Source organism: Homo sapiens, chromosome 10 (assembly GCF_000001405.40).
Source record: "Homo sapiens chromosome 10, GRCh38.p14 Primary Assembly".
Lineage (NCBI taxonomy): Eukaryota > Metazoa > Chordata > Mammalia > Primates > Hominidae > Homo > Homo sapiens.
The window spans coordinates 121042035-121059655 of NC_000010.11; the positions used below are offsets into that span (position 1 = coordinate 121042035).

A 17621-nucleotide genomic window follows, 5' to 3' on the forward strand; every position below is an offset into this window, starting at 1 on the left:
TGTCTGATGGACCAGATGAATCACATAGCCACACTCAGAATGAAAAGGTGGAGAGGTGAATTTGTGGGAGGATTGCAAAATCACATGGAAAAGGCTGTGGGTAAGGGAAGTGTGAGTGCCACAACTCATCACAGGGGACAGTGATCTAGGCTTAGAAAGTGGGGAGGAAGTGCACTTTCCACTGGGTTGCCCAACTGAGACTTCGGGGAGCCATGTTTTTCACTACTTGCTGCAGGAGGGAATGGGTATTCAAAAAGAAGAGGAGAGGGGTGGATCAGACACATGCAGAAAGAAAGAGCCCGGTGCTATAAAGTCCCTGAAGCTCTTCCAGTGTGTCTGCAGGTCACTCCAGTACCCAAACCAGCCCCTGAGCTAGTACTTTTTCCTGTTTGCTATATCAGGCGGTACTCAAGAGTGAATGCTGCAGCCAGTCTACCTGGGTACAAATTCCAGCTGTGGCTGAATAACTGTGTGGCTTGGAGGCAAGTTGCCTCATTTCTTTGTGCCTCAGTTTTTTCATCTATAAGATGGGGATAATGATAATCTTACCTCTCAGAGCTGTTGTGAAGATCGAATATATTCATATTGGGAAGGACTTAGAACAGTGCCTGGCATATATTAATAAATGTGTGGTAATTATTTTTTGCTGACATTAGTTTGAATTGTGTCCCTGTCAATAGATTGGATTTCGTGGGTGGCATCTCAGGTGGATTTGATGGAAAGACAAAGCTGTCTCTCATGGGAGCTGGGCTCCTACTTTCACCCAAAGGCACTGAACTGCATCCCAATTGCCAAATCTACCAACCAAGAAACAATAAACCCAATACCTTCCACGGGAATTACCCTAATCTGTGACTGGCCTGGTGAGTGTGTCATTTATAGAGTCACCATAACCACAGAACGTGGTACATGCCAGCAATCTTCGGGGACCTTAGTGCTCCCCTTCCAGATATAGAGCGAGGTTTGCCTGAGTCCAGGACCTGGCCGAGTGGGCCAGATTGCTGTGTGGGTTTATGGAACAGAGTGTGATGATAATGGGCTTCTAGATTCTTTCGGTGCAGACTCCACCTCCCTGCCTGCAGCCAATACGGAGCCCTGACAGGAAATACAAAGCCGCTGACAGCCCCAGACTTGTCCGCACCACCATCAGGGCTCTGAGCAGCCGAGCTGGAGCCCCCTCTCCCTCCAGGTCGGCCATCCGGCTGGGTCGGCTCAGTCAACAGCAGTTTACAGTTTGGCTGACTACAGCCTGACTCCACAAGGGGAATAAAGCCCAGCATTGTGCTGGGCTTGCAACATCTTTCCCCGTCCAGAGTTCCTGATGTGTTTGTTACACAGGATCTGGTCTGAATGTTTCCTTTGTCGCAGACCTTCACGTGCTGAGGTGGGTCTGCCTTCTCCGCGGCAGTCCTGGGTTAAATAAATACATTAAGGCAACATACACGGCTTGACACTGGAGCCAGCCTCAATAACTCAAATAATTCATGTGGCAAAAGATGGAGCCTCTGTGGTTTTGAATTCATTTAAAGATGGATTTCTTTGTTCACTTCCTTTGCTCGAGGAGAACACAAACTGGGAAGGGGCCGCCATGCTCCAACTCAGCTGGCCATTTTTCTCCAGCAAGTCTGTTTGAGAGTTTCTAAATCCCGTGCAGATGAACACAGAACATGACCTTCAGCCAGTTATAGGATACCATGCTGACATCACCACATAAATATACACTCCCGAGAAAGCTGTGATTAAGCTCCGCGCAGATTTTTATCACTTTTCCAGTGCACCGGCAGGCTGCTTGTTCGCCATGCACCTTTACAAAACTCATAATATTTAGAAATGTGCTGTGTTAGCCCCAGAGGCTTAAATAAACTAAAGCCTGTGAAGGTTTTAATGTAACAAGTTACCTTCACATGTGAAATTACGAGTCTACATGATACTCAATAAGGCCAACATTGTACACACTCTGTTCTTTTGGGATCTTATGTACATTTATCCTGACATATCTGTTTCAGTTTTTTAAGAACGGAAAATATTTCTATTTCAATACCACCATACATGTTCATGACACTAAAGAATGAGTGAGATTGTATATTTAAAGAAATTCAGAGTCTCCGCCGGGTGCTATGGCTCATGCCTATAATCCCAGCACTTTGGGAGGCTGAGGTGGGCGCATCACAAGGTCAGGAGTTCGAGACCAGCCTGGCCAACATGGTGAAACCTCGTCTCTACTAAAAATACCAAAATTAGCTGGGCATGGTGATGGGTGCCTATAATCCCAGCTACTTGGGAGGCTGAGGCAGGAGAATTGCTTGAACTCGGGAGGCCGAGATTGCAGTGAGCCGAGATCGTGCCATGCACTCCAGCCTGAGTGACAGAGCAAGACTACATCTCGGAAAACAAAACAAAACAAAATATTCAGAATCTCTACTCAAGGAGTTTGTGCTTTAAGGCCAACAGAAGGATGGGTGGGAGGGTGCTGTCATTGTAATCTCCTATAAAATCACCAAGTTTTCATTTTCTTTTCTTTTCTTTTTTTTGAGACAGAGTCTCTCTGTCGCCCAGGCTGGAGTGCAGTGGCACAATCTCAGCTCACTGCTCACTGCAACCTCGGCTTCCCGGGTTCAAGCGATTCTCCCACCTCAGCCTCCTGAATAGCTGGGATTATAGGCATGTGCCACCATGCCCCGCTAATTTTTGTACTTTTAGTAGAGACAGGGTTTCACCATGTTGGTCAGGCTGGTCTCAAACTCCTGACCTCTTGATCCACCCGCCTCGGCCTCCCAAAGTGCTGGGATTACAGGTGTGAGCCATCATGCCCGGCCTTCATTTACTTTTAAAAGTGCAGATAAAAGATTTGTTTTATGAGTATAGCAGAGATTCTCAACTGAGACAATTTTGCCCCCCAGGGGACACTTAGCAATGCCTAGAGATATTTTTTGGTTGTTACAACTGGAGAAGCAGGGTACTATTGGCATCTAGAGGGTAGAAATCATGATGCCAATATCTATGTATGTATCCTTCCATACACAGGACAGCCCCCCTCAACAAAGAATTGCTCATTCCAAAATGCCAACAGTACCATGCTTCAGAAACCCTAAGGTACAGTACATTTGGGAGGAGGGGTTGGGACAGCATATGTTCTAACAGGCTGGATGACTGTAAACTTTTTAAGGTGCTATGCAAACACTAACCTTGCCTTCTAGTCAATTTACTGGCTGCTAAACATTGTTTCAAAATTCTGACTCTCCATTTATCCTAAGCACATTGCTATAAAATGCCTTATTGATGAGGCTTGCCTGGCCCAAAATCTAAACAGGGCTGCTCAAGTTTTCTCTTTTTAAAAGAGAAAAATAAAAAACTTTTCTTTTTTACTTTGAAATGATGTTAAACTAAACATGTAGTTTCTAACATAGTAGACAGTACCTTCACCCTGCTTTCCCCCAGTGACAGCATCTTACATAACTATAGTATAATATCAAAACCAGAAAACTGATATTGGTATGATACTATTAAACTACAATCTGATTTGGACTTTACTACTTTGCTCAAGTTTTAAATAATAAAACATTTTAAATTTTATTTCTCCCAAAATATTCAACTTTATTCTTGTAGAAATGCTTACCATGAAAAACAAAACAATGATGATCTTTCTGCTTCTAAATGATCCTCATTGCCAAGGTGCTACCCGTTGCGAGAAAAGAAAGTGACCGGTGGAAATAATTGGCTTGTAGTTTTATTAATCAGTCTCTACCCTCTTCAAAACAAAGACTCCCATGATATTTTCTGGCTGTCAGTGCCTTCTTGTTGTTGTTGTTGTTTTGATCGGTTTACATGTCCTTCAAAGGCTCAAGTATTGAACATTAGGACCAAAGGTAACAAATTTCTCAACCTTCACCCCCACACCCCTCACCCCGACACTACAGCCTCCTGGAAGCACTCTGCAGAACTTCCCTGCCAATATATATATATATGTGTGTGTGTGTGTGTGTTTACTGGGTTTACACCGTCGGTGCCCCTGTTTTTCAGGCCTTCAGATTCAGACTAGTACTATTGTATTATAGTACCAAGAGCAGAAGATAAATGAGATGTCCTAGCCATATGTGTATGTGTGTGTATATATATACATATATATACAAAAACTATATATATACACACACACATATATATACAAAAACTGTATATATATATATACACACACAAAAAAATATATATATATATAAACTATATATATAGTTTTTGGATGTTTTTAAGGGAATCTTTTACAAATACAAATGGAGTGCCCTGCTGCAGACCCACCCGAGGGAAGGTGGGAAGGTGTTGTCTTTACTGCCGCACAGCTATTAAGACCTTCAGGTGTAATGATCGGGATAAGATACATGCTGCTTCTACCTTCAGCATCCTTCAAGAGCATAGGAGAGGAGGCATTGTGAGGACCTGGGCCCCAAGTGGGATTCCTTATGTTGTTCTAACCTCAGAAAGAAAAATACACTCAAAGACAGCCAGAAAAAGCCCTAGCAGAGGGGCTTTAGCGTGGACTTTTAGAGCACCATCTGAGAAGGTCGGCATTCAGTGGAAGAGAAAGCCTCAGACCATGGAGAACTGAGTTCAAGGGTTGGTCCTGCCACTTTCTGGCTATGAAGCCTTGGAGAAGGCACTGAACTAAGCTTGGTTTCTCTATCAATAAAACAGTGACACTGGTATCAATCCCGGTAAATACAGAAGGTGGTGTGACGGTCGCTGACCTGCTTCATTGGAAGGTGTCTTTTATAATAGGAGAAATGAAAAAAATAGGGTGTCCTCATATAGTGAAAGTAAATAGAGCTACAGCCACACACATCAACATGAAGAAACCCTGCAAATACAAATAATACAATGTATTAATCAGATTTCTCCATGGAAACAAGGAAAGAGAACCAATATGTTATATACATATATAATATATGGATGTAATATTACATATATGTATATAATATATATGTATGTAATATTACATATGTGTATTATATATGTAATATTACATATATATAACATATTGTTCTCTTTATTAATACATATATTGTATTATATATATGCTATGTAATATATAATTACATAATTATATAATATATACATGTATAATTACATACCTACATAATACATATATGCATTACATACATATATATTACATAGCATATACACACATACATATAATATACATGTATTACATATGTATATTCATATAGTGTGTGTGTGTGTATGTGTGTGTCTGTGTGTGTGTGTATAAAATGTATTATGAGAAATTGACTCACACAATTATGGAGGCTGAGAAGTCCCATGAACCACTGATATGTTTGGCTGTGTCCTCACCCAAATCTCATCTTGAATTGTAGCTACCATAATTCCCATGTGCTGTGGGTGAGACCCAGTGGGAGATAACTGAATCATGGGGGTGGTTTCACCAATACTGTTCTCATAGTAGTGAATAAGTCTCATGAGATCTGATGGTTTTATAAGGCGTTTCCCCTTTCACTTGGCTCTCATTCTCTCTTGCCTGCCACCATGTAAGATGTGACTTTTGCCTTCTGTCATGATTGTGAGGCCTCCCCAGCCAGGTGGAACTGTGAGTCCAGTAAACTCGTTTTTCTTTATAAATACCCAGTCTTGGGTATGTCTTCATCAGCAGCATGAGAACAGACTAATACAGCTACCATCTGCAAGCTGGAGACCCAGGGGAAAAAAAAAGAGTGGTATAATATCAGTCTGAATCTGAAGGCCTGAGAACTGGGGGAGCTGATGGTGTAAACCCCACTCCCAGAGCAGAAGATGAGATGAGATGTCCTAGCTTAAGCAGTGAGGCAGGGGAAAAAAGGAGGAGCAAATTTCTCTTTCCTCCTTCTTTTGTTCTATCCAGGCTCTCAACAGATTAGATGATGACCACCAGCTCTGGGGAGGGCAGTCTGTTTTACTGAGTCCCCCAATGTAAATGCTCATCTCATCTGGAAACATCCTCACAGACACACTCAGAAATAATGTTTAACCAGCCATCTGGGCATCCTTCATCCAGTCAAGTTGACACATAAAATTAACTATCACATACAACGTTGGGCAAAAAAAGTTGTAAAAGAACACATAAGGTATGATATACCATTCATACAAACATATAAAACCATACTATATGTATAGCGTAAGGATATACATTGATGTAGTGAAAGTAGAAAGCAATGCATGAGAATGATAAGAATCCAGTTCAGGTTAAGAGTTACCTCTGGAAAAGGGGGAGGGCAGGGAAGGAGATTGAGGAAGGTATACATGATGGATTTAACTGTGCTGGCAATATTTATTTCTTAACCTTGGAGGGTGGCTATGTGAGATGCCTTCCATTATTCTTGATAGATTCTTTAAATGTCTTTAATATTTCTAAATGCTCAAGTTTTTTTTTAATTGCTATCATTGTTGACAGAGGCCTTGAGTGTGGAATACAGTGTGTGGGTTGAGAACATGGGGCTGGCCTGAATGAGAACTCCATCACATTGTTACCCTGGGCAATTGCTTAAAACTGGCCTATGCCTTAGGTTCCTCATTTGTCAAGAGCACCTACTTCATAATATGACTTGGGAGGCTTAAACAAGATAATGTTTAAAGCTCACTCACCACCATGCTTGATGCATAATCACCTCTCAAGAAACGTTAGATTTTAGCTACTGCACAGTACATGAGATTACCTGATCATCATGATAACTCATCGATTGACAATGGAGTAACACTGTGTACAAATAATATAGATGCTTCCATCTTCTGCTAATTGTAACGTAATATTTAGGGCATAGAATAATGTTATTATTCCAACCTCAGATTTATGAGCCAGAACCTTACTTGACTAACTTAGGTCACTCCGCTGAAATATCTTGTGGGGAGATAGTTGAATCTTTGTTTGGATTCTTGCCAGTGGCCATAAAAATTCTTTGCCACTCAGTAAGGTTATGTGTTATAGCCATGTAGGAACTCTGGATATCAGAACTTTCACTTTTTGGCTGTGCCAGGTAAACCTAAATTTAAGATACCTTCAGTGGTTTTAAGATTTATGGCATCAAATTCTAACCTCCTGGCCCCAGGCCCATGCAAGCTATGTTTCTTACCTCTATATAATGTTACCCTCGGTAGCCAACTCACAAAGCAAGGTGCCTGGAATGATGTTAGCTTCAATGCCAAAATATCAGTGAAATGGAAAAGACCTTAATAACTGTAAGCCACATTTATGTCTCTATATTCTCCAGCATTTGAGCCAATGTGGAGATATTTCCCTTTGCCCTGTTACCCTCAAGTAATCTTGTTAAAATCTGAGAGAGCCTTGCTATCTTAAAACAGCCCTGTCCTCTGGAGTTGACCCACCAATTGCTGGGCTTTCTCCTTAACAAACAGAGCAGAGGAGAGTGGATTACAACATGAAGCCTCAAGTGACCAAAGAAAGGTAAATGTCACCTACCCCTGCCATCTGCAAGGCTAGACATCCCCCATTTAATCTGTTTTAAGAATGAAAGCGTCTGTCTATTCTTAAACAGCACAGTCCTCCCAGCCTTTTCTTGGGCCTATAAATGTACTTTTTACATGTAGGTCTGTGAAGTAGGGCCTTGTTGATTCAACATCTGGAACTACTCAGGTGGTTTGTCTCTGCTGACTTTATGAACAATAAAAGCAAACCACTGGATGATTCCTGGATATTTAAACTCGGGGTATAGGCATCCTGGCCTCATTGCTGACAAACACAAGATTTTAATTTTTCCTACTAGAGCCAAATGCAACAAATGTGGTTATGAATAGAAGGCTAAGTGTTCTCCTTAAAAATAGGCTACTTGTCTGAGGTATAATTTTATTTATTTATTTTTCTTTAATCAGCTGAATTTAAGATTCATCTAAGGTATGGTTTTTTAACTGTGGGGCACATAACTCAGAATTTCCAAAGTCCTTGCAAATCTCGAGTCTGTTCTCAAACCCAACTACAGTCCCACTTCAAAGAAATAGACTCAAGTTGATCACTTTCTAACTATAGTTTCTGCAAAGACTGAGAAGAAACCTATCATACTACTATGGAGACACCACAGTCAACCCCACTCCTGGAACTACTTAATCAACACCATTTTTTGTTATGTGGGGAAAGACTTCTCTAAAGTGATCCTAGGCTGTTTTCAGCTAAGATTCAATTTTATGAATATCCTTAGAAATGTCACCAAAACCAAGAAGAATGAGTCATTGAGGCCAAGTATGGGAAAGGAAAAACCAACTGCATAGACTGGATTGGAAAATATAGAAAAATATGTGACTGTGCTGTGAAAATATCACCTGGTAGTCATAGTATATTATAAGCTGATATAAATAATACAATGTCATAATGTTATAAAGTGCTAAAATACATGGTTCATTAAGAGTCTTAAGATGAGGTATCAACAGAACTTTTAACATGGACCTCTGGGAACAATGCTAACCTACTATACTCTAAGACTCTCTAGGATAAGAATCACCTTTCTTTGTCTCTGTCTTTCTTTGTCTCTCCTCCAAGCACCACGTCTGGTCCACAGTAGGTACTTACTGCATGTTTCATTCTGGATTGCAAGTGCTAGAAATGGCTTTATGACTTTATTAAGTAAAATGTTAGCAAAACTACAATGTTTCGAAGAAGTACCTTGACACCTGCCTACTCCATGGAAATTTCAAAATGCAGACCCAAAGAAAGATATTGTGATCCTCCTCACAATTTACTAACAAGAAATAATCCCTCATGTATACACCGATCATGTTCAGGAAGGTGACTTGGGAAAATAGTTGTTTGGAACTGGAGTCCCCTCTGTTTCACTCTGCCCAGCAGCCAAGATGGTCTTTTCTAAATGTGGATTGTGTCATCTCACTGTCCCACTTTCAAGGGCTCACCATTGTCCTTTCCTTAAGGCTAAAAATCTCCTCCAGAACCTGCCTCCTGCCTAATCTGCAGCTCCTATTCTTAATATACTCCAGGAGCACTGGTCTCCATCATGTCCATATAAAAAGACCAGACTCTGTCTTCTCACATGGCCTCTGCATTTGAGCTTCCATCTGCCTATTTATGTTCTTTACCCACTTCTGCATGTTGTTAGCTCCCAAACATCTCAATACAAATGCTACCTCCTCAAAGAGGTCTCTTCTGAGCACTCAGCCCAGAGAAGTTCCCACCAGGCCATTGGATGTTCCTCAATATCACATCCTCTTGTTTGTTTACTTCTCATGTTGCAGGGGGCAGCACCAGGAAAAGAGTAGAAATGGTGGGAAACATGGTTAACAAAGTATTTGGTTTGGGCCAAATTTCATAAGGCCTTCAGCGTCAGTGATGGAGTTCAGATGGTATATGGGGAGAAATCTGGCATCAGCTGGGGCAGTTTTAGGACTGGATCATATTGCAGTGTTGACAAGAGGTCATGCTGAAGAGACTGGAGGCAGGAAGCTCCTCTAGAAGCCACTGTAATAGTCCAGTTAGAGGTAGTGATTACCCATATTAAGGCAATTGAGACAAGATAACGAATAGGAGATACGGTTGAGTTAAACAATTCCTGATCTTAAGGAACCTATCTATCAGGGAGTGAAGTTAAGGTTGAAATAACTGAACTGCAAAGCCCTGTAAGGGAAGAACTCCAAGAGAGACACCTCAAAGGAGAATGGTTCCCCATGAATGGTCCTACTAAATTGACATCATTTCCTCCCTCTCATTATTAAAGCAACGACAATCTCATTCAGTTTCTCTTTGAGCCTCATGACTTGTCTCTGCAATTTCAGTAAAGTTTGACTTGACTTTTATTTTCCTGTTTTCCTTTTGAAATTAGATCACTCTTCCAGATTGTTCCAACAAGATTTCAAAGTAAAGCTATGGAGGGTTAAATGTCAAGCCTTTTAAAGATCTAGCACAAACTTGAAAGAGACTAAATTTTTCAAAAGTATGCTATTTCTCAGCTGCTGAGTCTGATGTAAAAGTTGAAAAGGAAAACAAATAGTTATCATAAGTGCCTTTTCCTTTACTAGGTAAATATATGAACACAACTTGCTCTACAGATGAAGTTAACACATACACAGATGGCAGAGGGAAAACTGGAAAGGCAACAGAAAAAATATCACTGTAGATAATGATTGTGTATGTACAAGACGAAAATGGCCAATTAGTGCTATTATAGCACATGATTGAATATTTGCAAAAATTTTTTTGATTCAGCACTTAACTTTTAATATTTGTGATGTAGCCTGAGAACGCTTATGAAGCTAATCACTGGAGAATTGTATAATTCAAACTCAATTAGATAAAATTGCTAATTGCTTTGAATCCAGTGACAATTATACCGTTAATAATATTATTAAATTGAGACCATTGTAAATAACTTCTGGCTACCAAAGGAAGAAGGAAGAGATAAGACCCGCAGTAATAGAGCAGAGTCAGGCAGGTCTGAGCTCTAATCTCTGATTTATTACTTATCAGCCATGTGACTCTGGACAAACTGTTTACTCTCTATGAAGCTCAGTTTCCTTATCTGTAAGATGGGTTTAATACTACTACTTGCTTCCTAGGGCTGTTGTAAGGATTAAATTATATATTTGTGCAATGTGCCTTGCACATAAAACTCCTCAACAAATAAGAGTTTTCCTTCTCTTTGGGACCTGAACAAGACAATGACACTTGGTGCCTCAGTTTCTCGCTGTGCAAGATGACTGACTGCAGGCACTGAATTACTTGGTGAGGGGGATGCCATGATATTTGGTAAAATGAGCACCAGCTTATAGTGAATATTGTAATTGCCAAAAATTTTGCTGGCTGTCATTCTAAAGACCATGTAGTTTCTATCTTTTCCAAAAACTAAGGCTAAGTCTATTAAATAAGTTCATGAGGCTTTAAAAGTATTACTTATTACTTCTGCAAAAGATGAGAAAACAAGAGATAATGCAATAACTAACTCAAAATTTGGGTTTGATTAAGATGACCTGGAATGTACAGAGACAACTGTGAGACCAAAGAAATTTTTCCTATGGTCATTAAACCAAAGAGGTTTTGGCTATACAAATCATTTATACTTAACACTTGTTTAATAGGTTGGCGATGCCTTTTAATAAGTATCAAGTATGAAATGTAATGGGAGAGTTTTTAGAAAATGTGTGATTTCATACACCTACCAAGGAATGCCTCGCATTTTATAAAGTCCTCTGTAGGTTCTAAAACACTTTCACTGGCATGACCTCATTGAATCCCTGTTATGCCCCTTTAAGCCTCTTTAACTGATGAGAAAACAGAGATTCAAGAGATTCAACCACTTGCCCAGCTGGTGTGTAGTGGAACTTTGGCCCAAAATCAGGTCTTCCAAGGCCAAGTCTGACGATCTTCTCAGTACTGCAGAGTTACTTCTACATGATTGATATCTAATACCGAAGTTAGAAAAGAAAAAAAAAAGTATAATATGGGCTGAATTGTGTCCCTCCAACATTTGTGTGTTGAAGCTCTAATCCCCTAGTACTTTAGAATATGACTGTATTTGGACAGGGCCCTTAAAGATGTGATTAAGTTAAAATGAGGCTGAAACAGTCGCCCTCAATCTGATTGGTGTCCTTATAAAAGAAAACTTGAATACACAGAAAGACACCAGGGATGTGTGCACACAGAGAAGGTCATGTGAGGACACATCAAGAAGGCAGACATCTGCAAGCCAAGGAAAGGGGCCTCAGGAGACACTCAACGTCCTGACACCTTAACCTTGGACTTCTAGCTTCCAGAACTGTGAGAGAATAAATTTCTGTTGTTTAAGTCCCCCTACTCACCCCCTACTCCCGCCCTTCAGCCTGTGGTCTATTGTTATGGCAGCCCTAGAAAACTAACTGACAGTAATACAAGATGAAGAGAGCTTACACCAAAACTAACCACCCAACATTAAAAAATGAACAATTAATTTAACTATATTTGTTATGATTTAAAATATTTCTCTCTTTCAATCTTCCCATAAATACAAGTCAATTTTCACCTTGGGATGTTTATTGGTCAGGGTCCAATCAGGAAACAGAAACCACACAGTAATTTAAATAGGAAAAGTTTAACATAGAGATTTATTAACTATAAAATCAGATTAGGGTCATGGGGGATGGGCTACTACTGGATAAACAGAACTCTAAGAAATATAGGAATGGCAGGTGTAAGGAGCAGTTACCACACCTAAGGCTTATGGAGAGAGCCTGAGGTAGAGCCTCCGCCCCATCCACCTCAGTCTCGGGGCTGAATTCCAGACCTTGTTGGAGAAGGCATGGCCATGGCTCACTGGATGGCAGGGAAGCTGCTGTGGTGCTGTACAAGAAGAACCTGCTGGAAACCTGCCCTTGAGAGTGCCAGGGAAAGCTGTTCACAGAGCGTTGTCTCTATGACACAAGGCACTAGACTATGAGATTGCCCTGTGGGGAGACAAGGCAAAGCTCCTGGCCACTGGGTACTGCTGACCATGTACCCTGAGGGGATTGGGGCTGGGAAAGTCACCATTACTGCAGGTGCTGGACACTGCTGAAGCCCTTGGGGCCACCAGAAACCTGGTGCTAAAGAAGCCCTGCCAGGTGCACAAGACAAGTGAGCTCCCAGAACCGGTAAGAAAAACCCCCTCCTCCTGCAGCATCTCTCCAGCACCTTCCACTAACACAGCCTGGTATTATACCAGCTGGAAAGGGCAACATATTTAAAGGGCTCTCTCCATTCTCCAAGGGCAGGCAACGAAGGGTGAATCTGGAGCTGAGAGGCATGAATAACTGGCACAGGATGACACACAGTTGTACTTAATGTGTGAGTCTCATGGTACTCAGGTAACTAAAGAATCTGTATCAATATTCCAAATCCTGTTGAAAGCGGTACCAAGGGACTTGTTGATATTTGGGGAAGCTTCTCCAAAGATAGGTATAGAATTTTCAAAGTGCAAAGGAAGGAAAAATAATGAAGGGCAATCTGAAGAAACAGGCTACCACAATCCAAAGCCGTGCATTCTTAACTGGAATCTTTTGTCCCAAACAATGAATATGAGTTCACGAGGTTGCACAATGCATAACGTGACCCAACTGCAGCATGGTGTTCCTGGATTTTAATCTCCTAAACTTCCTTGTTAATAAAGTTATGTTTGTCTGCATCACTATATTTACAAGTTAAATATTTAAAACCTCAGTCATCTTGGAATTAGCAAATATTTAGTGCCGATATGTTTTTTTCTTAATTAACTCTAAACTAGCTCAATTTATTTCAAATCATAATTATCTCTAAAGATTTTTATTTATGAGGGGAAGAGATATACCAAAGACTACTCCAAACTTACAGGAATTAGATCAGAAGTCTTACAATTTTCTCCAAATTTTCTTCATGGCTGCCTCAAAGAGAAATCATGCTATACTCTATATTTTCTGCAGTAAAGCCAAGGATATGGGAGGGAAAAAAAGGGGAAAGAGTCATGGAAAGCCAGCTTCTTGCTGAAACTCCACTAGGTGCCCTGCTGGAATCTCCCTTGAAAGAGGTAAGTTGGAGGGAAACCATTTTTCCCATTCTCATTCTTCCCCAATGTCTGGAGTGATCAAATGCAAAACACTAGGAATGTCTGGTTTTTTAAAGGAAACAGCTGAAGGCATACTCTTGTTTAAGGATGATGTAAGAAGCAAGAATTTCAGTTCTATTTCCCTCTTGTTTTGCTTTCTTGTTTTTGTTTGTTTCTTTTCTTATATTTGGTTGCTTTGGTTTGTGTTGGAAATTTAGAGGGTTGAACTGTTTGGATAACTTAGTCACTCACACCTAGGAGAGAGTGTACTAATGGTGCAAATTGTAAACTAGCAATACGAATAGAATTTTCTCATTTCTCCGACTAACCCAAGAATTTGGATGCAATCAGGATGCCCATTAGGCATTTATATTTTCAATGGATTATAAATTTTTTTTTGGAATAATGAATTTTGCATTAGCCCTATAAAGGGAAATTAAAGTCTACAATTTATAAATACAGGTGTGCTAGCACATTAGGGTATTTTATAAACATGGACTTTAACTTTGTAATAAAATTTTTTTTTCATCAATTTCTAGACTAGGAGATTTGTAGAAGGGGGAGATTGTAATTTTTGAGATGATCTGTTGTAGCTGATGAGATGATCCCTTTATTAGTAAGGAAATGAAGATCCAGTCCGGATCACCTGACTTATGTGGTTGGAGTTTATATTCTTCTTCTTCTTTTTTTTTTCTTTTTTTGAGACAGTGTCTCACTCTGTGGGCCAGGCTGGAGTGCAGTGGCACGATCTCAGCTCACTGCAACCTCCACTTCCCGGACTCAAGCAATTCTCCTGCCTCAGCCTCCCAAGTAGCTGGGATTATAGGTGTGTGCCACCACGCCCGGCTAATTTTTGTATTTTTAGTAGAGACAGGGTTTCACCCTGTTGGCCAGACTGGTCTTGAACTCCTGACCTCAGGTAATCCGCCCACCTCGGCCTCCCACAGTGCTGGGATTACAGGCGTGAGCCACTGTGCCCGGCCTGTATTCTTCATTTTCTAACCATATCTTCTCTCCTCCTCACTTTGCCTTTTGGACTTGAGATAATAGCATAGATAATCTGGGTTTTCACAAAGGACCTTTCCCCTGGTGCCTGGTGGCATCTACATTTTCTGTGTTGCTGAAATAAATGTGTGTCTCACTGCATCAGGCTGTCAAAACATGCTGGGCACTGATGAACTGCAGAATCTTTTCCTCTCATACTGTGGAACCGGGCATAGGACCCAGCAAGAAAATGAACCCAAGAACCCGCTCCATCCAGCAGCCATGCCAGAAGCACCAACTAAATCTAAAAACCACAGATCCAATTAACTCCCTTTCCTGGAAGCACCAAAAAGACATAATCTTGTCAGCACCCCCTTGTCATGAGCCCAGATCCAATGTTCAATATTCTTTTTATTTTCCTAGAGCCTTCCAAAATAAAAATTATTTCAAGGCCACTCCCTGTCACCGTTTTCCACATTCTTAACAGAGGTATGTTGTCCATGCTCCACAACAACTCTTCACTGATAGGACAGTATTTGTTTTTAATTTCTGTATAGTATTATGATTGGTTCTTGTGTGTTTCATAATTAATTGAACATACATAGCCAGATTCATTATAGAGAGCAATGTGAGTAAAGACATCCCAGGAATTTTTTTCCTGCTGGAAATATGAAAGATTCATCTTCCCAATTTTTTCCTGATCACCTGAGAGCCTACGCAGCAGAGATATTAAATTCCATCTTGTGACATAACACCAAAAGCATTTAGCGACATCCTCCCCTGAACAATGCTCAACGAGACTGCACTTCATGACAAACTTTATTCCCCAATCATATGAGCCAGATCACAGCTCAAAAAAACATGTCCTCAAACAGATGGGCTCTTGCAAAGTGTTTTCCTATAGATCATTTTCACTTTTCTCTGTTTTCTTTTCACTTTCCTGTCACATAAAAATTGGATCATAGGCTGATTTATCTCAGGGGCAATAGGGCACAACTTGTGTTATGTCTAAGATGGTTTCGTGCGACTTTTATCAACAACAGCCAAGGACAGAAGAAAGTTTCTTGTTACTAAATTACCCTGAAAGTGATGAAGAGTTTTATTGATTACAAAAATTTAAGTGTGAAAATTGTACCACGATGTTACTACAAACACATTTTCTTTTCAGAAGTTTCAGAGTATTAAATGGACGTAGTGCCAACTAAAACAGAGCTGACTATTTGATTTGGGGCATGATTTTCTCAGTGAAAATATTACTTATTTGGAGAGTGGTCCAGGCCAACTTTGAAGTCTAACAGAAGGAGAAAAGCTGCAAGGATGGGGTGAATCAGGCCCTGAAGTTTATCTGGCTGTACAACTCAGATCAAATCAAGAGCTGGCCCACTGCTTATTGACCGCTGACCTCTGGACTGAGACTTCCAGAATGTTCCCCAGCATGGTGGTCATGGTGGCAGTTTTTGTTTACCTTCAAGCAGGATGTTTTGAGAGCCGGTTGAGAAATGATGCTAATTTGTATGGCAAACTTTCAAGTCGAAATTGTCTGTGGGTTTTCTGCTGCTTATTGAAATCTGAACTAAAAGCAAAACCTATGATTTCTGCCACTCGGGTTTAATAACAGAAAACAAAGCAATCACATAAACAGACCCCTTTTATTGACTAGAGGCCCCAACTTCTCCCTTCTTGAAACATGAGTCATTGGGAAATAGAACTTATACCATAAGCAGAAACCGGATACCCTTAGAATCAGAAGTATCTCCAACACTAATTGGATTAAAAATCACTAAGCGCTCTCACAGACTGGAGCATTCAAATCAAATTAGCCACCATCTTATTTTGTGAAAATAAAGAATTAGTGCCTTGTGTGTACATTTTCATCACAAGTTAATGAGGGACGTAGCATGACTGAAACTGCTCACGTTACCGGAATTCAGATATCACCAAATGCCCTTTTCTTTTTTCTTTTTCTTTTTCTTTTCTTTTTTTTTTTTTTTTTTTTTTTTGAGACAGAGTATTTCTCTGTCATCCAGGCTGGAGAACAGTGACATGATCTCAGCTCATTGCAACCTCTGCCTCCTGGGTTCAAGTGGTTCTCCTGCCTCAGCCTCCTGAGTAGCTGGGACTACAGGCTTGCACCACTACCCCCAGCTAATTTTTGTATTTTTAGTAGAGACAGGGTTTCGCCATGTTGGCCAGGCTGGTCTCAAACTCCTGACCTCAAGTGATCTGTCTGCCTTGGCCTCCCAAAGTGCTGAGATTACAGGCGTGAGCCACTGTGCCCGGCCCCTTTTCATTTTTTTTCATGCAAAAGCTGAACTGGAATCCTAAAGTTCTCCAGCTGAATTCTTTCCTAAGGTAGCAAGGCAGAACTCCTCACTTTGCAAATGAGAACATGGAAGTCTAAAGAGTCTGTGATGAGCTCTAGACCTTGCAGTGGTTTGACAGCAACACATACAGGTAAGACCCAGCTGTCCTCACCTGCAATGCTGTATGTGCTCTGGTGATTCCACTAGTGTTTCCTTGAGATAAAGGGAGATGCAGTGATCATTCCAAGTGGGAGTGACCCATCGAGCAGCCCAGCTACTGGCTTTGGGTAAACCAGAGCCCTGTGATCTTCCTGGCTCATAATATAATATGATCCACATCAGCTCCTCACAGCAATCCACTGATGCAGGAGGAAAGAGAGCAAAGGCCAGGCAAGCAGGCAGAGGACCTCTGCTTCTGGTTAGAACGTAAGAGAACGGGAAAGACCTTTGTTTCTGAGAGAACTACAAGAAAAGCTGGGACAAAATAAAAAGTGTGCTTCTCTACCAGGCTAGTTAAGAGCAGTGGGATGCAAGAAATCTTGGATGACCTGAACTCCAGAGAGAAGTGAGACCTTTATGGTGAGCAGCTTCCACACCTGCGGGAGGGAGTCAGATCCCTGAATTACAAGATGGAGGAGGGTCCTGCTGGAGCCAGGGAGACTCTGCAGGGATGGGGAGAACTCAGCTGAGCCTGACTGTGCCAGCTGGCAGGGTGGATGGCATCTGGAGGAGCCCCAAACAAAGCACTCAGCCCAGTAATTCAGCCTGCCTAGACCACACCCAGTCCCAAATTTTGTTGAGGAGGTGGCAG

The 17621-nt window shown here is 41.1% G+C and overlaps 1 long non-coding RNA gene across 2 annotated transcripts in view; it reads right to left on the reverse strand.

Annotated features, from left to right (window-relative positions):
• LOC105378521 (uncharacterized) overlaps positions 1 to 17621 on the reverse strand; it is a 78111-nt gene that overhangs the window by 42669 nt on the left and 17821 nt on the right. The gene's annotated exons all lie outside the window — the stretch shown is intronic.